The sequence below is a fragment of the Homo sapiens genome, chromosome 12, assembly GCF_000001405.40.
Source record: "Homo sapiens chromosome 12, GRCh38.p14 Primary Assembly".
Lineage (NCBI taxonomy): Eukaryota > Metazoa > Chordata > Mammalia > Primates > Hominidae > Homo > Homo sapiens.
Window position 1 is genome coordinate 82,352,042 of NC_000012.12, and position 23,724 is coordinate 82,375,765.

The window sequence follows — 23,724 nt, forward strand, 5'->3', positions numbered from 1 at the left end:
AAAAATTGTAAAGCAATTTACTGAAATAATTTATCCTCCATCATGATGTGATGTGTCTTCACCAATGTAGCCAAATTTAGGCTTTCTGGGCTGCTTACTTTAAATGCAATATAGTGCAATGCAAATTTCTAAAGCATTGCTTTTCTATGCAATGAAGATTAAGTTCAGTGTTATCTAAGCACTTTCTACTGATCTTGAAATGCAGAATAAATTAGTAGACTGAAAGAGCTCCCTAAAATCTTAATGCAATTTCAGACTGTATTTGCTATCATTTATAAAATTTTATTATTCAATATTTGGCAAGTATTATTGGTCAGCCCTTTTTGCTTACAATGACTATATATATATTTCAAGCCTTTCTCATTCTTCTGCAATTTGCAAAGCATGAGAAGCAGTTATCCCAGTGGCTTATCTCAGCTCACAAGGGTACCAACAAGGGAGACAGAGATAATGTTCTTAAAGTATAGGGTCCATAGGAACTGGAAAGCTTAATTCTTGCTGTGACACTGTGGGGTTTCCATCATTATTTAAAAGACCTTAGACTAACAAGCCATGTACATCCATTTAAGGGAATGTTTATAAATATCAGACTTTGAGTTCACTGCTTTGTGAAGGTCGCTTTGTTATATGGTGAGGGCAGTTTATTTCAGCACCCATCACCCTGTAACATGTACTTAAAATAAATAAAAAGTCCAAGAGGAGTCTTTGCCTCCCTCATCATTAAAATAAATTTTAAAACAACGTAACTGTTTACTAAATTGAAATATTTCATTGAAATGCTTCATTGATAGCTCTGATTCCTTATTTTTAAAAAATTTATTTCATATAAATCTCATATGGTACAAAAGTATTACATGCTTGGGCCTGTCTTGCAAAATAAGAGGTTCTTTCAGTTCTTCAGGCCAACCTTCCTTCAGAGGCAAATAAATAAGAAACATGTAGAACATATTTAGAAAATTTTTTACCATAATAAAAATATGTGAACATCTTATATTTAGCATAGTTTAGCAATCCAGTTTATGTCGACAAATTTAGTTCACTGCTGGGAGGCACATGTCACAGAAGAACCTAATAGGCAGCAGATATTTTAACCTGTAGGAACAAAATGTTTAACATTTTTCTTGTATTTTTTGAAGAAGGTACTCCATTTGTACATTCAAGTTTGGTTGGCCCTTTTTAGTCTTTTTGTTCAGTATTTTAAACACTTCCATTTTCTTCTTTTTGTACTGCCTTTGGGCTTCTTCTCTCTCCTGTTTTCTCCTCTCGAATTCCTAAAATTATTAACATATGTAACTTTCATTAGCAACAAACAGTAGATACAGTTCAGAAATTGTCTTGAAATAGCTATTACTAAGCAAACACTCTAAGGTTTGTCTCTTCTATTTTGCAAGATGTGCACTGTTTCTCCTAATTGAAGCAAAGTACCCTCTTTGCCTTCATATTATAATGACCCATGGTATAACAGAGAATTTTCATGATCACAAAGCCCCAGCTCTATATAAACAAAATTTTAAAAGGACATTAAATGTTTTACAGCATAATGGTCATTACTGCACTTCATCTGATATACTGTTTCCAAAGGTGACAGATGGTTGGAAAAAGCATAAAGCTGTGCTAGTTAATACTGGTCCAGTATTCCCATGAAGAAATTTTCCTGCTTTCTCCTAATCTGCCACCAGCTTAAGAACAATGAAAACATTTTTGATGTTAAGAATTCTTAATTACAGATATTCTAAAGCAAAAACAAGCAAAATTACATATCTTTAGGGTATTTTTAACTGACACATTATACTTTTTAAAGCTACAGATCAATAAAACTTCAATGGAAAAACAAGAACTACCACAGTTACAACAAAATGACAATTTTGTTGAGGCTGTGGGTAATTCTGTATTCATTTGAAAAAAGCCTAATTCTGGTCTACAATTCTGGTTTTCTAAATAATAGAGTGCTAACTTTTGCTAAGCTAAAATAATAGTTGTTTTTTTTTTTTAAACAGGCAAGAACACCTCTTTATAGTAAAAAAGTATTTTATTCTAACACCTCCCCTTTGCTTTTACTTTCTTCAATGTAATGTTATGAAAATCATCTATATTTTTCTTAGGTCAGTGGTTCTCAAGTTTTATCATACATAAAAATCTTTTGAGGTGCTTGTTAACAAGTGCAAGTTCCTGGACCAAACTCAGTGAAACTTTGTCCCAGATGTTCACAATATTGACCTATAAACAATGTGTTCAAAATCCTATTTTTGACCTACTAGTATTGCTTGACATAATACAAGCAAGGACTTGGAATAAGATGCAATCCTCTACCTTTGCTCAGACTACTCATTCATTCAACAAATATTTACAGAGAGAATACTGTGTGCCCAGCACCAAGAAGCACAACAGGTATAGTATATATATTTAGGATAAATAAGAAAAACTATACTAAATATTTTCAAAGTAGAACTTACTTGTTTCTTAGCAGCACGTTTGGCTTGTATCTGTTCATATTCTTCTTGTGCTTTTTGATTTGATGTTTTCTTTTTATTTTTCTTTGGAATTGTAAAGGAGCTTTTAATTGGGGGATGAGGAAACAGGACTTTATTAGTAAAATGTCCAAAAAGGTATTAAAAACACAGTTGTAGCTTTTAAGAGTATATATTAAATAAAAGGCACAAATGGGGATTCTTAGAGAAATATTTCAACTAGGAAAAAATATAGAAAGCTATGAAAAATCCTAAAATGTTAAAAAAAAAAACTTTTAAAAGTAATGAAACCAGTATATGAATGATAGAAATGCCAGACTGAAAAAAGAATTAAACTTGTTGTTTAAGGATGTTAAGAAAATTATGTGTATATATGAACTTTAATCTCGAAGTTTTCTGAGCCCCTCCTCTCTATTCCATTTTACCTACCTAGTCATGAATCACCATACCTTGGATCTAGATACCATTTTGAACTGTTCTATCTTTAACTACTTCTCACCTCTCTGAAGATGTCCTTTTTGTCAAGGCTAATCCAACTACTTGGAATTCCATTCATTTCCTCAGCATCCTTGATTCAGTAATAACTTTACTTTCCTCTATCATTCAACTTTTCACTATACTCTGTAACTACAATATAATATTTTAATAGCTACTAATCACTAGCGACTTTGGACTAGTGACTAGTGACTGCCTAGTCCACAAATCCAGAGACCTGTCCTCAGTCCTATTCACCTTCAACTTTATAGTACAGTAGCACACCCCTTATCCATGGTTTCCCTGTTCCACGGTTTCAGTTACCTGCAGTCAACAGAGGTCCAAAAATATTAAATTGAAAAATTCCAGAAATAAACAATTCATATGTTTTAAATTGTACACCACACTGAGTGTTTGCTTTAAGTGAAAAGGTAAAAGTTCTTGACTTAATAAGGAAGGAAAAAAAATCGTATGTTGAAGTTGCTAAGATCTATGGTTTTAAAAAAAATCTTCTATACATCAAATTGTGAAGGAAAAATAAATTCATGCTAGTTTTGCTGTCATACTTCAAACTGCAAAAGTTATGGCCACAGTACGTGATTTAAGATGGAAAAGGCATTAAATTCCCAAGTAAAAGACATTAACAGAAATACATTCCAATTGACAGAAACTGGGTTTGGTACCATTTGCAGTTTCAGGGCATCCACTGGGGGTCTTGGAACATCTTCCAAACAGATAACGGGGGACCACAATATTTGATAGCTGACTAATCCCTCACAACTTTTCTCTGTGGACTGAGCTGTCACTGTATTTCTCTTTCTCCAGTCCTGAAAAGCTTAACTTCCTCAATGACAATATTTTCCCTGTTTCCACCCCAAAATAAACCGTAATCTTTAAAAGCATGATTTTTTACCTTCCTTTCTCATGATTTAAACTTCCTTACTTCAATTATCAGAGAATAACTCAAATCTACATTTCTACTGCTAATCTTTTCCCTGAACTTTATACTGATTATTTAACAATATAATGATCAAGCCTACCAAAAGTAGTAAACTTTTTGTGTCTCTGCCTTCATCCCCAATTACATTTTTACCCCCCGTGGTCCCATTTCCTGTTATTTTTAGCGCAAATAGCTCACGACTTTAAAAGATACGGTTTTAATGAAGTAAAAAATTATGCTCCCAAGTTAATACCCAGCTTCTTGCAATTTTAGATTTTAGCATTGTTTTTTAACTTTAAGTATGCAGCGATAGTTTTTTATAAGTTAACTCTTATAAAACCAAAGCGTCACGGAGCTGTGCATTTGCAATTGCAACCCATTTCTGGTCCTCTGCAGAAAATCCAGATTAATAGTAGTAGCTAACGCTCAAGAGCACTAACCACGTACCATATATACCCTTTAAGATCCTCATATACATTAACTCGCTGAGTCTTCACAACAATGTCATGAAACACCTTAGGAACACCTGAGTTTATGTGAGTAATCCATTCTGGAGCTGTGCAACATGGCAGCTCTGAAGTATATATTCATTACAGTATTATCTTTCCCAATTTAAAGAGGACATAGTGTTATTTTTCCCATTTTAAAGAAGAGGTCACTGGGGCACTAACATGTTGAGTCTGGCTCTAGAACCCATACTGTTAATGACTAAAATTATAACACCTCTCAGAAGTTATTTTTCAAAAATATAGTCATAACATATGGTCCAATCAAGTTACCACCTGTACTTGAGAGGAAGAAACCCAAATTCCAGAGCTCTTAATTCCCATTACGTTACTTTGTCAATTAGGCTAAACCAGCCTAATTCAGTTATTGAAGCTAAAAATAGAGCCTCCATGAAAATGTTTCCCTAATTAAACCGTGACTTCTAAAATGTGTTAAATAAGAAAAAATACAATTCCTATATAAATTATCCTATAGTACTTTTAAATAATAAAACAACACTTAAAGGATTTCAAATGAAGAAAATACATACTTTACTGTTTTAATACATTGTTCTTCTGGCTGAGGCTGGTCAAAGCTACACTGATCTTCAAATAAAGGCTCGTCAATGCTACACTGTTCTTCAAGCAACGGCTGGTGAACTTGTTCTGACAAAGGATGGTCGACTTTTCTTGCTTGCTTCCTATGTCTTTCCTCTTCAGCTAAATAGAGATGTTTCAGATTATCTGGGTATCGATCTGTGAATTGAGATTCCAGTGACGTTTGAGCCTTCTTTTCCTTCCGTAGCAATTTCTTGTAACTTTGCTGTATTTTCAGTTTTCTTCGAAAAGCAAAGCCTTGTCCTACATTGAGGAATATCATCCAAAATTACTTTCAGAGAAAAGAAGTTGAACGAAGAATGGAGCTGTTAATTACAAATGAAAACTTTTTTTACGTCATCACATTCAGATTCTAGTATTATATTTTGCTTTAAAAAATTATTTCAAGCAACAAATTTAAGCTGATGGATTGCATAGTAAGTTGGCCCTTTGCAAAAAGACCAGGCTAACAGTCATGCGGAAATCCAAGTAAGAATCTCAAAGAAAAACTGACCAGTTCAGACTGTTGCACAACTTGAGTTTACAGCTGTATTCACAAATCAAAACAAATTCCTTAGTTCATCTAAAACACTTAATCTGAGCCTTCAATAAATGCTTAAAAAATAGGAAAGAAAATGCCACATCTAGTATCTTGGACAAACTACATGTTTTCGAAAATGTTTCAACACGAAAGAAAAAGACAGTGTATGGTTGTCTGAAAAGCTAGCAATTATCGGAAGACTGAATTTAACATTTATATATTCCAAGTGGGATCTAAGAGACCTTACAGACAGCAATACAAAATGACAAACACAAATTAAAGCGAAGGCTGGAGGGCCTCGGGTATTTGTAATAAGGAAGAATTCGGAGCAGTGTTTCTGGCCCTGTCCTCCTCTCTATCCTTTACCTTACCACATGCGCAAGAGTTCACAGGGTCATAGACTCTCTCTGCTCAGTTTCTCAGGAAAAATATAGGAAAAAAGTTCTGATGAAATACAGGGTTACGTCAGAAAAGACGTTTAAATAATAGCAACACTGCTCCGTCTTCCTATCTAGAGCTCTGCGAAGCTCACAGCTTTAGCGGGCTCAGGAATGAATTCCCTTGCCCCAAGTAGGACCGGGTCTGGTTCCTAAATCCTTCTTCCAAGCTTCAGCGAATCTTATATCCTAAAACTTAGCAAGCCTGAGGATTTGCAAATGGTTGCCTTCTTACATACCCTCGCGAACGCTCCCCACGAAGGCTTGCGGGTGGTTAGGCCGCCATGTCTTCTGTCTCACATTCTTATTCCTGTACCCGACAGTGGAAACCCCTTCACCACGCGCCTCAATACCACCAGGCCGCCACTTCGCGGACCGCCTCACCGGCGCCATTGCAGCCGACTAACTGCGTCATCAGAAGACCACGACGGACGCCCACAAAATACGTCACCAAGCCGAAGCAATCAATCGCTCAGAAGGAATCCGGCTCGGAGCTCTACTGAGCCTGCCTGTGCTAATTTGGGCCGAGCTGGCGCCTCACGGCCATGTTTGCGCCACCTACAGCCTCGGAGGGTGAGCGTCATGGCGGCTTCTTGCCCTCTCCCGGTGACCCCGGACCTGCCCACGCTGCGTGCCAAGTTGCAGGGACTGCTGCAGTTCCTGAGGGATGCCCTGTCCATTTCCAATGCACATACCGTGGATTTCTACACAGAATCCGTGTGGGAGGAGCTGGTCGACTTGCCACCGGAGACAGTGCTGGCTGCGCTGAGGAAGTCAGCGTCGGAGACGGAGGCCCTGCCCTCAGAGACGCGCCCCCTAGTGGAAGCAGAGTGGGAAGCAGGTGGGTGGTGGGGTAGGCGGGGCGGGAAGGGAGGCGGAGGAGAAGGTCCCGGCAGACGAAGCGAGCCCCCTGGTGGAAGCCAGCAGAACCAGGTGCGTGGCGGCGGAGGCGGGGCGGCCCGCTGGGAAACCGAGGAGGGGTCGGATTAGTTGAGGGGTGGGGTGGGGATGTTCTTTGGAATCAGGATCACTCTTTCTTTGGGTGCTTGTGTATGTCCACAATTTAAAGAAAGCAGGAAACAGGGCAGGGGAGTTCCTTCATCTAGTAATTCCATAATAATTGACGCTAGGGAAACTAGGGGAGCAGTGCTCTCACAGGTTTTATAAATGCCAGCATGTGGTGGAAGATTACTCAACAGTTAATAAAGATAATTTCAAGTGGTGGTAATGAAGTAGAAAATAAAAACAGTGTAATGTGGTAGGGATTGTGTAAGGAGGCTGCCTCAATTTAGGAGGTCAGGAACATGAGAAGGCACTAGCTGCAGAGCCACAGGGAGGGGTTGCAGGCGGTGGGAACCGCAGGCTAGGCTTGGCTCTAGCCAGGTGAGGGGCTGCAGGTGCAGGACGGGAGGCAAGCAGAGGCCAGATGGCACAGGCCTTTCTAGGCCTTGGAAGGATTTTGGATTTTAAGTGTGACGGAAACCCTTGGGATTATTTAGGCAACATAGTGACCTAATTCACATTTGAAAAGATAACTGTGAATTATTTGAAGAATAGACTAGGGCAAAAGCTGAAGCTGAGAGGCCAGTTAGGAGACTACCTCAGTAGTACAACAGATGATTGTATCTTGGACTAGGATGGTATTCGGATAGTCACTATTTCATTTAAAAACTATTTTAAAGTACCTAATATGTGTCTTGAATTTTTGTAGGCTCAAGCTTTTCCTACCCTCAAGAAATGTAGATTCTTCTCAGGCAAGCATATTTTGGAAGTAGAATGATGGACACCAACAGGCTTCTGGGATTTTTACTTTCCTTCTAGACTTCCCAAAGTTACCCTTACTAGTGAACTTTATTCATTGAGCATTCTCTGAATGCAAAGCATCACTAGAGGGACCTCTTATAATAGCACTTGGTAAATACTGTTGTTGTTTTTTTAAGTAATTGTTATTGAAAAGTTAGGCACTTCTTCAGTTTGCTCTCATAATAAATATATGGCACTTATGATATGACAATTTTACTTAAACTCCAAAAGAGCAGAGTCTTTGTCTGACTTGTCAACTGATGTATTCCCAGCACTTGGTAAAATACTTGGCATACATTAGATACTGGATGAATATTTGTTGAATGGAGGAATTAATGAGTTACTCATGTTAGTTTTAAATAAATAAAATGAAACTACTCTCAAGTTTAGAGTGTAAGACTTTAATACGTGTTTAGCCTGGTCTCCAGACAATGGTAGAGTCAGATTGTCTTACATATTCTAATAATAATTGGATTATTTGATATTTACTATATACCCTGTAGTGTGCTAAGTGTCTTCATGTGTATTTTCTCTTTTAATCTTTACATCAGCCTTGCAAGATAGGTTCTGTTATTGTCGATTTGTGGAATTATAACTTGAGGAGTTAATTTGCAAGGGATATAGCTGATAATGGAAGATTCTCAAACCTGGGTCATCTGATTTGAAACTTTTTTAGTGCTGTAAGAAAAAAAGTATACTAGATAAGGGAGGAGTAAGTAAGGGGAAGAAGAGGAAAATGTTTGCATTTTTAAGTAAGTTGTCCTGGCAAGACCTCACTGAGGTGACTCTAACGCTGAAAAGATAAGAAAAAAACCGAGCCATGAAGATCTCTGGAGGGAAAGCAGTCCATTTAGTGACAACAGGAAACAGAAATGCCCTGACGAGGGAGCCTACAAGGTATGTTTAAGGAGCTGTAAGGAGACTGAAATAGATTTCCACTAGGGACTCACAAGGAGTATGGTCTTGTGTCCGGAATTGTTAGGTTCTTGGTCTCACTGACTTCAAGAATGAAGCCACAGACCCTCTCAGTGAGTATTATAGTTCTTAAAGGCGGCGTGTCCAGAGTTTGTTCCTTCTGATGTTTGGATGTGTTCGGAGTTTCTTCCTTCTGGCGGGTTCGTGGTCTCGCTGGCTTCAGGAGTGAAGCTGCAGACCTTTGCGGTGAGTGTTACAGCTCACAAACGCAGTGTGGACCCAAAGAGAGAGCAGCAGCAAGATTTATCACAAGGAGTGAAAGAACAAAGCTTCCACAGGGTTGTCGCTGCTGGCGCCAGCAGTCTGCTTTTATTCTCTTATCTGACCCCACCCACATCCTGCCGATTGGTCCATTTTACAGAGAGCTGATTGGTCCATTTTGACAGGGTGCTGATTGGTGCATTTACAATCCCTGAGCTAGACATGAAAGTTCTCCTAGTCCCCACTAGATCAGCTATACACAGAGCACTGATTGGTGCATTTACAAACCTTGAGCTAGACACAGGGTGCTGATTGGTGTATTTACAATCCCTTAGCTAGACATAAAGTTTATCCAAGTCCCCACTAGACTCAGGAGCCCAGCTGGCTTCACCTAGTGGATCCCACGTTGGGGCTGCAGGTGGAGCTGCCCACCAGTCCCATGCCGTGCGCCCGCACTCCTCAGCCCTTGGGCGGTCGATGGGACCAGGCACTGTGAAGCAGGAGGCGGTGCTCGTTGGGGAGGCTTGGGCTACGCAGGAGCCCACGGTGGGGGGGAGGGGGACTCAGGCATGGCGGGCTGCAGGTCTTGAGCCCTGCCCCGCAGGGAGGCAGCTGAGGCCCGGTGAGAATTCAAGAGCAGCGCTGGTGGGCCGGCACTGCTGGGGGACTTGGTGCATCCTCCGCAGCTGCTGTCCTGGGTGCTAAGCTCCTCACTGCCTGGGGCCAGCGGTGCTGGCCGGCTGCTCTGAGTGCTGGGCCTGCCAAGCCCACAACCACCCGGAACTCGCGCTGGCCAGCAAGCGTGGCGCGCAGCCCTGGTTCCCACCCGTGCCTCTCCCTCCACACCTCCCTGCAAGCTGAGAGAGCCAGCTCCAGCCTCGGCCAGCCTAGAGAAGGGCTCCCACAGTGCAGTGGTGGGCTGAAGGACTCCTCAAGCGTGGCCAGAGTGGGCGCCAAGGCTGAGGAGGCGCCAAGAGCGAGTGAGGGCTGCCGGCACGCTGTCACCTCTCAGTCTTCTGCTGATATTTTGTGAGGAGTTACAAGTAAACATAATTCCCAGAGCGCAATGCACAGTTTGGAAAAGCACACTAACAGATGTTCGGCACAATCATTTGGTGTTTTATGGAACAAAGTTTTTTCTAAAAGTCCTCAGTGTGTCCATTTCAGTAGGTTTCATGTGCCAGGTGATCTTCTTGTCTCATTAGAGTCCTAAGAGTTTCTTCTTCATTGTTCGTCTAAAAAGAACTAGAATAAAATATTTAATTCTCTAAAATAAAAAGCAAATATGTTAGAAATAACTATCTTTTCAGTGCATAAATTATGGCTTTCCAGACAGACTTCCTGGGGTCAAATATTGACTCCAGCACTTAGTAGCTGTGCTAACTTGGGCAATTTACTTCAACTCGTTGTACATTAGTTCCTCATCTGTAAAATGGGGGTAACTTTAGTACCTGCCTGATGGGATACTGTGAAAGGTAATTCAGCTAATATATAGAAAGGGATATCTTTCACGTGAAGTGAACAGCAGGTGCCCAAGCTGGAGCACGCTTGGTGCATTTTAAACACAGCTGAGCAGTCTTGGTGAGACCGGTGAGAGATGGCATTTGGAGGTAGCCCAGGACATCCTCACATAAAACTTGTAGGCTGTACTCAGTATTTGGCTTTTATTCTGAGTGAAATGCGAAGCTCTTTGAGAATTTTGTGTGGTGATGTGATACCGTGTGATTTATGTTTCAAATCACCTGGTTTCTGTGTGGAGAAGAGAAGGTAAGAAAGGTGAAGGAAATTAAGGGAAGAAACAGGAATACAATATAAGAGGCTATTAAAATAGTCCAGGGACATTTCAAGGAACAGTAGCTTGAAGAGGTCAGATTCCCCTGCAGATAACAATGATGAAAACTGGCCAGATTATTAAAAACAACTGTAAGATTCTGGAAAATGCCAAAGGCAGAAATATAAGAAGAGGTTACTATTGAAAGACTGTGATTGATTGGGTAGGAAGTCAGAGTTTATGGCTTTCTTGCTAGAGATGCTCCTAGCCCCTGTAGATCTAGCAGTGGAATACCACATCCTTACCAGGTCAAGGTGGTGATGGCAAAATTCAGAGATCGGAGCAGGTGCAAATTTAAGACGTACATTCTGGAAACAGGAGATACAAAAGGTCTGAGATCTAAGATCTGAGTATAAACGCTGCCTGAATCCCCAAATGATCTCTTAACTCCACATGCCTGGGAGACCTAGAGATCCTAGCAGAAACACTGGCAAAAAACTTTTGAGAGGCAGAGCTTCCCCTGGCTAGAGATCCCACAAGTTTGCTGCACCTTCAACAGAGTGTATTTCCTAAAGTACATACAACTTGGGTGGTAAATATCAGAAGCCTTATTGAATTCTTGTATGAAAGGGCAAAATTCAAGTTTGGCAGAGCAACTGGAAATTTACACTAGGGAGTCTTTGAATTGTAAAAAAAGGAACTACAGAAAGGGTGAGCCTCAAAATCTGACTAGAAAATCTACCCAAATCTTTATCTGACTGCTAAACTCTGCAGGCTCAGGTATACCACCAGACAGTGGGTAAATAAAAAGCAACTAAGCAGAGACATCAGCTGCTGCACTCTGAAGGGGGGATAGTTTTCACAGTTTGAGTCAAAACAAGTTGACTTCCCACTATTAATAGAACAACAACCACCACAAATCCTTAGGAAAACAAAATAGATTCACTACAATAAAGTATCTGCCATTCCATTTTTCAACTAAAAAAAACTAGATGTTTAAAAAAAAAAAAAAGGAAAGTGTGACTCTAACTTAGGAAACTAATTCCAAGTAAGCCCTAATGCTGGATTTTAGTACCTATGATGAAAGAATTGAAGGATAGTGTGACCCGTATTTAGGAAAAAAAGAGTAAGTCAATAAGTGCTGATCCTAATTGGGCTAACGTGTTGGATTTCAGTGGCTGTTATAAATATGTTTAAAGAGCTCCAAGAAAATACACTGGGAGAATTAAAGGAAACTATGGTATTAAGGAATATTTAATTATAGTACCTACTTTATGCCCCTTTGAAATGAAAAGTACACACTTACCGACACACAATTGTATTAATGTTATGTATTATCTATTGCTGCATAACAAGTGGTTTAAACCTATACTATCTCATCAGTTTTTGTGGGTCAGGAATTCAGGAGCAGATTAACTGGGTGGATCTGGTTTGGGATCTTAAGAGGTCACAGTCAAGAAGTTGGCTGGGGCTGTAGTTGCTGAAGGCTTGATTGAGGCTGAAATATTTGCCTCTGTGATTATCTCATTCACATAGGTGGCCATAATATTTCATTCGCATAGGTGGCCATAATATCTCATTCACGGAGGTGGCTAGTTGGTGCAGGCTGTTGGCATGAGGTCTCAGTTTCATACCATGTGAACTTTTCCTACGGGGATGCTTTTGTGGCAACTTTGTGTTTACATGACGTTCTTGTTTTTGTCTGCACTCAGACATGATTATGAAGTTGGCATGGTCACAAACCTTGTCTGATGTTGGTGTACTGAGAAATTTTTCATGTTTAGTAGGAAAGACTGTGGCCTACATGTTAGTTCAAGGTCAGCTATGAGCTGACATCTGTCTGTTACATCTGGGGTTTTTTCTTTCCTTTTTTAAAAGTAGGGATAATATTACCTACCTTCTAGGACAGCAAAGATTAAAGATGATGTATACATAGCACCTAGCATAGAACTGAGAATATAGCATGGGTTAATAAATTGTGGCTAATACATGATTGTGATGGTTGTGATGATGATTGGTAGTGATGGTATAATTAGGTCTTTACTTGGAAGAAATAAATTGTCCAGAGTTCCTGGAAGTTTATGTTCTAAACAAATATATTTTTTGCCATATTAATAAATAACATACTATTGTTATTGTCTGTTGGCTTGTCTGTATCTGCAACTAAATTATAAACTATCAAAAAACAAAGGTACAATGTTTGTCTTTTTCACTATTTTCAGCATCATAAACAGTTTCTGTTTATAGATGAGTAAATTAAATGATTCTATTTTTACATTAAAATTGTTTATTTTTAATTGGCAAATAAAAATTATGTATGTTTATTGTGTACATCATGTTTAAATAATTCTTGAAAGAATGAAGTTAAACATAGATCTAATAAAGAGTCTTATTGAAGGCACTCCTTGCACATACCTAGTACTCAACTAGACATATATTATTTCTGGTTGATCCCTGAGTTATATTTATGATCATTGTGTATGATAATAAATATTAGTTATATGATCCAACTAATAGATTTTTAAATTTATTTGAAGAGACACAAATCAATAACTGTTCTTTCCCTATGTGGAAATATAGTACTTTATTTAGTACATTACAGATTACAATAAAATACCCTGGGAATTTGGACATAAAATCAGAACAAGTATCACTTCAGGTTAAAATGTCTAAAAGTTAGTACATAATATAGGCGAGATTAACCATCTGCAGCAAAAAAGCCAGTAGAGACAGCTTCTAAATATTTTGCTGATAGGATAAATATGACCTATATCTTATTTTGGAGATTAAGATTTCATTATAGCTCCTTCAAGGAAACCAGACTGTGTTCTTGGGAAGTAATGACTGTAAGTGTAAATCTGTAACATTCTCAGCAGAATCATCATTGATCTTCAGAAATTAATTGTTGTTTAATGGAATCTAGAAAATTCTTCTGAAAAGCAAGAGGGGAGAGATAGTCTAAGTCAGGATAGCTAAAATATTTTATGAAACAGAAATAGATCAAAACAACAGAAGCAACTTAAGCAGCTTACTTAGCTTGCTGAAAATTTTAAGAATATCTGGCCTCGGCCGGGCGCGGTGGCTCACGCCTGCAATCCCAGCACTTTGGGAGGCCGAGGCGGGGGGATCACGAGGTCAGGAGATCGACACCCTCCTGGCTAACACAGTGAAACCCCGTCTCTACTAAAAATACAAAAAATCAGCCAGACATGGTGGCGGGCACCTGTAGTCCCAGCTACTCGGGAGGTTGAGGCAGGAGAATGGTGTGAACCCAGGAGGCAGAGCTTGCAGTGAGCCGAGACTGCGCCACTGCACACCAGCTTGGACAACAGAGTGAGATTCCGTCTCAAAAAAATTTAAAAAAATTTTAAAAAAAAGAATACCTGGCCTCATTTGTTCTCATTGTAATTCTAAAATTAGGAGACTATCCTAACAAATGAGTGTTACAGATTATTGTTATAGGTATATTTCTCAGTGGAAACTAATACATTTGTATTTCAAAGTCAACATCTTATAATGTTATTTAAATTAGCTGGGGATAGCCTAATGAACTCTCAGGAATTCCAGCTTCTGTGCCTGCCAAAGCATAGGGATCCTCTAAGGCACTGAGCCTCCAGGGACTTTCTCTTGACTTTTCTTTCAGTTTCTTGACGCCATATGCTGCTTCTCCTGTTTCACATTATTACTCAAATGATCCTACCAGGATTGGGTGCTGAGTAAATGTTTATAGAATCAGTTCCTTTTGGTGATCATCTGGTGTAATTATTTTACTACCATTTTAATTGAACAACACAGAAAGTGTATGTCCATGATAGATTATTCTTTTATCAAGCTTGTCTTTATTTTTTTTTTTTGCATCTTAATAAATTAAATGTTTTCTTGGCCATCCTAAGTAGTTTTTATTGTTGGTGGTGGTAGTAATTCGAATGCATTGAAATTGCGCTCATATTTAATTTGAAACACATGAAGGCAGAAAGTATGTTGTTGGAAACAGACAGTGAGAGCACAACGGAGAAATAATTAGTGTGTTCTGTTTTACTCTGCTGTATGTAACTTTTATTCATTCACTTTCCTTATATATTTTTCTGAATTCCATTTTCTCTTTTTCAGTTTTTCTGAGTCATTTTAGATTTCAAATGTAAAAATAATATTACATTATAACAAGATAGTGGCCAGTGTTAGCCCCATTCCAGGGGAACTTCTGTAATCATAAGTAAGAGAGAGCTGCAATGCAAACAAATCTTTGAGAACCAAGGATAATTTTTCTTTTTGTCTGTTTGAGATATAGAAAGTGTCTTCAGATTTTCCTTTTAAATAAAACTATTTAGAACTTAAATTTGTTTTCTAATTTTTAATGGTACCTCCTCCACTACTTTCCCCTTTCCCCATATCTTTCAATTATTAGAAGTTCAGTAAAACAGAGTTCATGGAGATTCCTTTCATCTGTTGCATTTTTCCTCATTCTACTTATATTATACTGTTTTCCTGTGTTTAGCCAATCATCATATATTTGGTTGCCTCTATTCGTTTGGATTTTTAAAATTTTATATCAAATCATTAAACTTTCCTTGTAAGCTTATAGTTATGGTTACCTGTTATCATCATTTATCATAATTTAAATTCTTTCCTTGGTTTTAAAAAAAACTTTTCTACATGATTTCATGCCTTCTGGAGTCTGTATTTATTTTGTTTACTCCTCATCACCTCAGTGGTTTAAGCATTCCTTCTATAAATGACATTATTATTCTTCCTGTTACCTCAGTTCATAATCCGCCAATTCCTCTTCCTCCATTACTCTTGCATTTGCTCTTTTTCATTCCCATAGAAAATAGTTCAGTGTCACCTCTCCTTTTTAAATCTTGCAACAGAATTTTTGTAATGGCTTCCAACCTGTTGTTCTTGCCTTTAGACTGTATTTCATTCATGTTGCCACTCAACAGCTTTCAGATTTATTGTCCAAAACCGTAGTTCTGATCTTGTCATTCTTCTGCTCAAAACCCATCAGTAGTTCTTCATTTCCTACAAAATAAAGTTCTTCACCTTTGGCCTTATCTTGTATCTGCTCTTCAGCTGGAACTTGGCTACTAATATAAACAAATAGGAGATAGCATGGAAAGAATATGGATTTTAGTGTCAGTCACACATAGTTTTGAATCCTGGCTCTGATACTTTAGTACTGCATAATCTTGTGCACTTTAGTTAAGCTTTTGCAGCTCAATTTCCCCTTTTGAAAAATGGGAATCCTAATTCTTGTCTGAAAGGTCTCCATAAAAGTAAATGAGATATATATTAAAACGTAGTGTGCAAATGAGTAGGCCCCATAATAAATAATAGCCACCTTCTTCCTACTCTGATGCTCTCAGATGGAGGCAGACTAGATGCAGAGTCAGAAGACCTGATTCTAATCCATCTCTAACTCTGATTAGCTGTGTTATCTTGCACAGGGCATTTAACTGTAGGGCTCAATTTTCTCATCCAAGAAGTAACTGCGTAAGTTGTTCACCTATGGCAGAGGTAGAAAAATAGCCACTGCCAGACTTGTGTGGCTTAGAAACACATCTCATTTAACCAATATGGTGCCTACATTTTTTTTAGCCAACATTTCAAGATTGACAGATTTCAGATTTAACACACACATACACACAGACACACACCCCTGGAATTGTAGCTTCTGTGGAAAACATTAGATCTGGCCATTTTGTTGCATATCTCTGTGTGGCAGACAGCTTTCTTTTGGGGGATATATCCGTTTCCTCTAGCTAGCTTCATGAATAGAAGTAATCTGCCTGGCCCCCTAAGGTACCAGAAGTTCAGCTCTTGGGTTGCAGGCTCCAATCAGTTCCCTCATACCCCCGAAAATGAATTCAGGAATTTGTTTCACCTTCTCAAAGGAGACTGATAACCAAAAATAGTTATAAGTCAATTGAATAAAAGATACCTAGGGTTTCTTCCAGTTCTCAAATCCTAGGGAAATACAATGATTTAAATATTTTATCCTCAGACCTTATTAGTCCCTGCTATTAACACCATGGTCATGTTGAAGGGCTGTGTCAATCTGGATCTTGAAATGAAAAAGTCTATATAACCAGTCAGTGGGTCACCTAGATAATAAATGATTCAACTTCCTACATGATCTGACCCCTGATCAACTTTGATTATGAAGATGGGTGAAATAATTTGATGTTCCTAATTTTTAAGATATATTTTCAGCCAAAGCAGAAGGGAAGAGGTTTGAGGAAATGGTTTAGTATTATCAACACTTCTCTTGGAATTTTCCCTCTACCCTTAAACTGTATACTTTAGCCACTTTGTTCTCTGAATGTACCATGTGTTTTTTCTCTAATTTTGTTCATGGTATCCTGTTTGTTTAGAGCTTTCCTACTCCCATCTATATAATAAATATTCACTCATATTGCATCTTCTTTCAAAGCCCAGGTCAGATTACACTAAATTAGTAATGAAATTACTCATTGTATGTTATTTTATTCATAGCTTCATTAGAGCACTTAGTCCACTGTGTTATGATGATTTGTTTTCTTTAACTTCCAGTTTTCTTTAACTCTCCAGTGTGTCCTGGTGTGTAGGATATAGTAAGTGACACATAGTAGGTACAAATTCAATGTTTTGTGTCCGGAATTGTTTGTTCCTCCCAGTGGGTTCTTGGTCTTGCTGACTTCAAGAATGAAGCCACGGACCTTTGCGGTGACTGTTACAGCTCTTAAAGATGGTGTGTCCGGAGTTTCTTCCTTCAGATGTGTCCAGAGTTTCTTCCTTCTGGTGGGTTCATGGTCCTGCTGACTTCAAGAATGAAGCCGCGGACCTTCACGGTGAGTGTTAACAGCTCTTAAAGGTGATGCAGACCCAAAGAGTGAGCAGCAGCAAGATTGATTGTGAAGAGTGAAAGAACAAAGCTTCCACAGTGTGGAAGGGGACCTGAGCGGGTTGCTGCTGTTGGCTGGGGTGGCCAGCTTTTATTCCCTTATTTGACCCCACCCACGTCCTGCTGATTGGTCCATTTTACACAGTGCTGATTGGTCCATTTTACAGAGTGTTGATTGGTGCGTTTACAATTCTTTAGCTAGACACAGAATGCTAATTGGTGCGTTTTTACAGAGTGCTGATTGGTGCGTTTACAATCCTTTAGCTAGATACAGAGTGCTGATTGGTGCGTTTTTACAGAGTGCTGATTGGTGCGTTTACAATCCTTTACCTAGACACAGAGTGCTGATTGGTGCATTTATAATCCTCTAGCTAGACAGAAAAGTTCTTCAAGTCCCCACCCAACCCAGAGGCCCAGCTGGCTTCACCTCTCAATCCCCCCTCTAAACAGGACACCCCAACTGCTGTTGGGAATCGGCCAGTGACTGCTCTAGCTAATTCCTGCTGGATAGGGGTGAAGAAGGAGCCCTGCAGTTGTAGTGTCCTCCATAGGGGAACTCTTTAGGCCAGTGAAAGGGCCAGCGGGTCAGTCCAGGGATCCTTGGTAGAAGTTGTTTGTTGAGCTCATTTGGGGTTCCATTTGTAAGACCATCTGTAACTTGATGGCCTCGATCCTAGAGGAAACAGATTTGACAAGGAGGTTAAAAATATAGGGCCCGAAGGTGAGTAATAGCAAGATGGCTGCCACGGGACCTAGAAAGGGGAGAAGCCAGGTTGCCCAACTCCAGAGGTTGGTATAAGAGTTTGAAAGGTGTTGTTTGATTTCAGAAGCCTTTTCCTGTAAATGCTGGGTGGCACCTCATACTATCCCTGACTGGTTAGTGTAAAAACAATACTTTTCCCCTAAGAAAGTGCAGAGTCCTCCTTTCTCAGCAGTGAGGAGGTCTAGTCCTTGGCGGTTTTGGACAGTCACTGCTGCCAAAGAGTCTATTTGGGATTGTAAAGAGAAGACCTTCAATTATCAATTATAGTTTTAAATTTACCCTGGTTTTTAAAGCAATGGGGTATACTGTTTTTTCTTTACTATTTCTATCTTTTTCTCTCTTTGACTCCTTCTTTGTCTCTCTCTTTCTCTCTCTGTCTCTGACTCCCTCTTTGTCTCTTCCTCCCTCTCTCTCTCTGACTTTCTGTCTCTTTCTCTCTTTCCTTTCTGCTGGCCTTTCCCTGCCTCTGCCAGCCGCTTATGCTGCTGTTCTCCTCTCTCCTTCTTCTTTTTGATGGCTTCAGCTGTGTAAGACTGCCACCTCCTTGGGTTTTTGCACTGCATGCAATAACTCCATGATTTCCTTGTGGTATTTGATGGGGGTTCCCCCAGAGGTTAGGAACTCCCTTTCTTTCCATATTGCAACATGGGCATGTAGGATTAAATGAACACACTTACTATCTGTAGCAAAGTCTCCCAATTACAACTGAGGAGGTGGGAGAAATACCTGGTTACAGGCTGTCCCAGGATTCCTCAGGTGGTAACAGACCTTGAGGACAGTCATCCAGGACAGGAGATTAGCACTGAGAAGGCCATGTCAGTGTCCAGGAGGAAGTCAATTTCCTGGCCCTCAATTGTTAAAAGTACCCGAGGCTCAGTGAGGGTGATGACGTGAGCTGGTGCCTGCCCCAGGCACCCTCAGTCCTGTTGTTGGATCATCTGGTTGGGGCCTCCTGGCCCGGAGAATCTTTGCCCTCTGGGGCAGTGTGCCTTCCAATGATTGCCTTGGCATAGTGGACATGGACAAGGGGGCGGCTTGTTTCTCGTTGGACAGTCTTTTTTAAAATGTCCTTGTAAACCACACTGATAACAAGCCCTACCGGGTGATTGGCCTGCTCCATTTTCTGTCCTCTCTGAACCACCAAGGTTTGTCTGTCTGAGGGCCATGACTAAGGCTGTGTCCTTTGTCTAATCTCGTTTTTCCTTTTCGGACTGTTCCTCTTGTTCCCTATTATAGAACACCAAGATTGCCAGGTTTAATAACGCCTCCAGATTTTTTTCAGGGCCCAGGGCTCACTTTTGGAGCTTTCTCCTGATATCTGTGGCTGATTGGGTAATAAACTTGTCTTTTAAGATCAATTGACCCTCAAGTGAGCCGGGTGACAGGGGAGTATATTTTCTTAACGCCTCCTGTAGCTGCTCAGGGAAGTCAGAAGGATTTTCTTCCCTTCCCTCAGTTATGGTGGACATCAATGAATAATTTATGGACTTTTTCCTAATTCTCCTTAGTCCTTCTAGAACACAGGTCAACAGATGTTTACGACTCCAGTCCTCATGATCTGAGTCTATATCCCAGTGGATCCATACTGGGGACGGCTTGCTGACTGGTAGGGAATTTGTCCCTTTTTTCAGCTGTCATTCCATCATTTACTTGACTAAGATACAAGGTATCTCCAAACTCTCGTGCTGCAGCTAAAGCTGCATTCTTTTCATTAAAGGTCAGGGTTTGATCTATCAATAGCATGATGTCTCTCCAAGTAAGACTAAAGGTTTGCCCTAGACCCTGTAGGACATCCATATACCTATCAGGATCATCTGAATGCTTCCCCAGGTCTGCCTTGATCTGCTTTAAATCAGAGAGGGAGAAGGGGACATGTACCTGGGTTGGGCCAAATTCCCTTCCCCCTACAGCTTGAAGGGGACATAACGAATAGCCTGGGGATTTTTGTGGTCCTTTGGAGAGTTCTTTGCTTGTTTCCTTCTGGGCAGGGGAGATTAGAGGAGGCTTATCATTAATAGGAAGGGGAGCTATAGGGAGGCTAGGATATGGGGGTAAGCTGAGAGGTCCTCCTGTGAGATGTAAATTGCAAGCTTTGCATAGTTGTGTATTCTCCTTCAATGAAAAGAAAGCTTGGACATAAGGTATTTCACTCCATTTGCCTTCCCTTTTACAGAAAAGGTCAAGCTGCAGGATAGTATTGTAATTTGTACTGCCCTCAGGTGGCCATTTTTCCCCATCAGAGAGAGAATATTGGGGCCAGGCCATAGTGCAGAAAAAACTGAGCCACCTCTTTTTTAGGATTTGCAGGTCAAATTGGTCCCAGTGGCTTAGGATGCATTTCAAGGGTGAGCCTGTTGGTGCCTGAGTGTTTCCCATCTGAAAGACAAAACCGCCTGTGATTTTGGTTTGTTTGTTTCTCCCCCTGCCCAAGAACCCACAAGGGTCCCTGGACCTTGCTGATTGGAATAGTTGCACTCGCCGACGTAGCAGCAGAAACACTTCTTGCCCAAGAACCTGCAACGGTCCCTGGACCCTGCTGATCAGAATAGTTGCACTCACCGACGCAGCAGCAGAAACACTAGTTTTCCTTCTAGACCACAAGGAGGACCGAGGAAGGTCGGATTTAGTGGCCCTTACCGACGCATTCTCGAAAACCTGCACCCTTGCGTGTCCTCCTAGACCACAAAGAGGCCCAAGAAAAATCGGATTTAGTGTCCCTTACTGATGCATTATCGAAAACCTGTTAGAGTCCTAAGCGTTCTCCTGTTAGTATTGGGACCTTACCACTGTCCTATAAATATGTTATGCCCCAAAAATGAAGTGGAGGGCCATACCCTGAGGGAGGGAAGGGATCTCGAGGGTTGGAAGAGTGACACCTTTTGTCCTCACTTGAATAGGAAGGATATCATTTCTGAAGCTCCCCATATCCTAGCTTCAGGAATAGCTTTTGTTAGGCCTGCTTGTCTGTGGCGGGATCCTAAAATTCAAGATAGTCCCTCCTACAATGGGGCTTTGGGCAAAAATTATGTCTTTCTGATTGGTGAGCCCGGGTGCCTAAAGAAGGGAATAGAGTCCTGGAGTTTATGCTAGAAATCATTCATATAGGAGAAACTAGAAAAGCATCAGAGACAGGGAGTGGTTTTTAGAAGCGGGACTAGCCTTGGAGAAGAGAGGTGAGAGAAAGTTTGTCTGACAGGCATTAGGACCCAGGAGGCAAGGGTCAGGATAGATAGGATAGATGAGTGAGTCTCGCTGGGGCGACATAACTTTGAGAGTTCCACTCATGGCTGCAAGGTCAACCAACTTGTTTGTGGGACCCTGGAGCTGATTGGCTTTTCTCTCTGTCAACCCTTGGCTCAGCCCAGAAGTACAGGAAAAGCAGAAGCTGGTTCCAGGCAAACCAGTGCTCCCAACTCCAAAGAGCCAGGGGTTGTTAGAGAGCTCTTTCCCAGAAAGTCTAACACCTGTGTCTTTAGTCTGGAGGTCATGCTAGTCGCTTTTAACTGGCCAATAGGTGCCCGGTATTAGCCCCCGAATTCTAAGGAAAAATAGGACAGAATAGCAAGCGAAAGGGGTCTGATGGTACTCACTGCTTGGTGATAGTCCCTTTGTGATCGCCAAAATGTGTCCAGAATTGTTTGTTCCTCCCGGTGGGTTCTTGGTCTCACTGACTTCAAGAATGAAGCCACAGACCTTTGCGGTGAGTATTACACTCTTTAAGATGGTGTGTCTGGAGTTTGTTCCTTCAGATATGTCCAGAGTTTCTTCCTTCTGGTGGGTTCGTCTTGCTGACTTCAAGAACGAAGCCACAGACCTTCACAGCGAGTGTTACAGCTCTTAAAGGTGGTGTGGACCCAAAGAGTGAGCAACAGCAAGATTTATTGTGAAGATCGAAATAACAAAGCTTCCACAGCATGGAAGGGGACCTGAGCAGGTTGCTGCTGCTGGCTGGGGTGGCCAGCTTTTATTCCCTTATTTGGCTCTGCTGATTGGTCCATTTTACAGAGCACTGATTGGTCCATTTTACAGAGTGCTGATTGGTGCGTTTACAATCCCTTAGCTAGACACAGAGTGCTGATTGGTGCGTTTACAGTCCTGTAGCTAGACACAGAGTGCTGATTGGTGTGTTTTTACAGGGTGCTGATTGGTGCATTTACAATCCTTTAGCTAGACACAGAGTGCTGATTGGTGCATTTATAATCCTCTAGCTCAATAGAAAAGTTCTCCAAGTCCCCACCCGACCCAGAAGCCCAGCTGGATTCACCTCTGTTTGTTGAATTTAATATGGTTACATAGAGAGTATGTGGGCATTCCAAGTGTATAGAACAGTGTAAGCAAAAGGGTGAAGCTGGAAAATTATAAAGCATATTTCAGGACAGTTAGAAACATGGAGCAAAGTATTAATATATTTTTAAGTAGCTAAAAATAATGTCAGAAAAAAATATTGCAGATAGTTTTGGAGGCTTGGCTGTTAAACTTTTTGAAATCATCCTTCCATGGGGACAATAGTGGTCTAGAGATGAAGGATGTGTGCTGAGACAAGGTGATGGCAGTGGAATAGAAAGGAAGTGATAGTTTTGAAAGATGCTGTACAGAGAAAATTGGTAGTGCTTGGTGACTGTTTATATAAAGTTTAGAGAAAAGGAAGAATCAAAGGTAATTCCAAGATTTTGATTGCAAACTTACAGAATAATAATGAACAAATGGTACCACTAGCAAAATTAGGAGAATCAGCAGAGGAAGCTGGGGAAATAATGTATTGCATTTTAGATATATGTTGCTGTGGTCTGAATATGCTCCTCCAAATTCATATGCTAAATATTAATTGCCAGTGTGATGGTATTAAGAAGTAGGACCTTTAGTAGGTGATTGAGTCATGAGGGTGGAGCACTCATGAATGAGATTAGTGCCCGTATAAAAGAGGTACAAGGAAGCTGACCACCCCTGCTGCATGTGAAGATGTAGCAAGGAGCACCATCTTGGAAGCAGAGAGCAACCCTCAATCTGTACCAACTATGCTGGCGATTGGTTTGTTCTTGGACTTCCCAGCCTCTAGAGCTGTGAGGAAAAAAAAAAATATATATATGTTCTTTATAAATTACCCAGTCTCAAGTATTTTGTTATAGCAGGAAAGGATTGAAACAGTTGTGTTTGAGGTCTTCCATGTAGAGATATTTAAGAAGTCCCATTCACTGCCTCCCAATCACTCACCTACTACCTTAAGTTTTTAGAAATGATTGAGATGTTTCAAGTGTAAACTGTCACTACTCTGGGCAGTAGGCTGAATTAGTGAGGTCCAGAAGTGATTGAAATGAATTTAAACCTACTGATGTTTGAGAAGAAGGAATAGACAACCTTTGAGCATCTCTTTTATGGCCTTTATAATATC

General features: G+C 40.4%; 2 protein-coding genes across 22 annotated transcripts in view, besides 4 other annotated features; one reads left to right on the plus strand and one right to left on the minus strand.

Annotated features, from left to right (window-relative positions):
- Nucleotides 1-261: 261 nt before the first annotated feature.
- CCDC59 (coiled-coil domain containing 59) lies at nucleotides 262-6,764 on the minus strand. Of its 2 annotated transcripts, none has more exons than NM_014167.5 (4): nucleotides 6,182-6,346; nucleotides 4,919-5,228; nucleotides 2,454-2,553; nucleotides 262-1,271 (listed from the first exon to the last, which is right to left on the minus strand). In NM_014167.5, exons 1-4 carry the CDS (start codon nucleotides 6,333-6,335, stop codon nucleotides 1,110-1,112), a joined length of 726 nt encoding a protein of 241 aa, NP_054886.2. In that variant the 5' UTR covers nucleotides 6,336-6,346; the 3' UTR covers nucleotides 262-1,109. The 2 variants fall into 2 exon arrangements, 1 of the variants encoding a protein (NP_054886.2); NR_033192.1 differs by lacking the exon at nucleotides 6,182-6,346 and adding an exon at nucleotides 6,638-6,764 and having other exon boundaries at nucleotides 263-1,271.
- Nucleotides 6,155-6,715: an enhancer, noted in NCBI's record as "H3K27ac hESC enhancer chr12:82751975-82752535 (GRCh37/hg19 assembly coordinates)". NCBI's record gives its function as "activates a minimal SCP1, AML or CMV promoter by ChIP-STARR-seq in naive H9 embryonic stem cells {active_cell/tissue: H9 hESC(naive)}" and the evidence as "EXISTENCE:reporter gene assay evidence [ECO:0000049][PMID:30033119]".
- Nucleotides 6,155-6,785: a biological region, named in NCBI's record as "H3K27ac hESC enhancer GRCh37_chr12:82751975-82752535".
- Nucleotides 6,226-6,785: an enhancer, noted in NCBI's record as "active region_6690". NCBI's record gives its function as "activates an Ori minimal core promoter by ATAC-STARR-seq in GM12878 lymphoblastoid cells {active_cell/tissue: GM12878}" and the evidence as "EXISTENCE:reporter gene assay evidence [ECO:0000049][PMID:35858748]".
- Nucleotides 6,488-23,724, plus strand: part of METTL25 (methyltransferase like 25) — a 120,711-nt gene continuing 103,474 nt past the window's right edge. For 12 of the 20 annotated variants that reach the window (NR_144941.2, NR_144940.2, XR_007063135.1 and 9 more), the window contains exon 1: nucleotides 6,488-6,783. Coding sequence is in view for 9 of the 20 variants with exons in the window: in NM_032230.3 (NP_115606.2) it covers nucleotides 6,525-6,783 (259 nt within the window). In the remaining 11 variants the exon portion in view is untranslated. Of the gene's footprint in view, nucleotides 6,876-17,343; nucleotides 17,520-23,724 lie in introns of those variants that run through there. The other 8 variants (NR_144942.2, XR_007063138.1, NM_001319675.2 and 5 more) reach the window with 4 other exon arrangements.
- Nucleotides 6,716-7,276: an enhancer, noted in NCBI's record as "H3K27ac-H3K4me1 hESC enhancer chr12:82752536-82753096 (GRCh37/hg19 assembly coordinates)". NCBI's record gives its function as "activates a minimal SCP1, AML or CMV promoter by ChIP-STARR-seq in naive H9 embryonic stem cells {active_cell/tissue: H9 hESC(naive)}" and the evidence as "EXISTENCE:reporter gene assay evidence [ECO:0000049][PMID:30033119]".

Excerpts from the sequence above, each read along its gene's own strand:
- CCDC59 (NM_014167.5), bottom strand. The coding sequence starts at position 6,335 with ATGGCGCCGGTGAGGCGGTCCGCGAAGTGGCGGCCTGGTGGTATTGAG. Across the intron at positions 5,229-6,181 it reads CGTGGGGAGCGTTCGCGAGG|GACAAGGCTTTGCTTTTCGA; the intron begins GTATGTAAGAAG and ends TCCTCAATGTAG. Across the intron at positions 1,272-2,453 it reads AACGTGCTGCTAAGAAACAA|GAATTCGAGAGGAGAAAACA; the intron begins GTAAGTTCTACT and ends TAATAATTTTAG.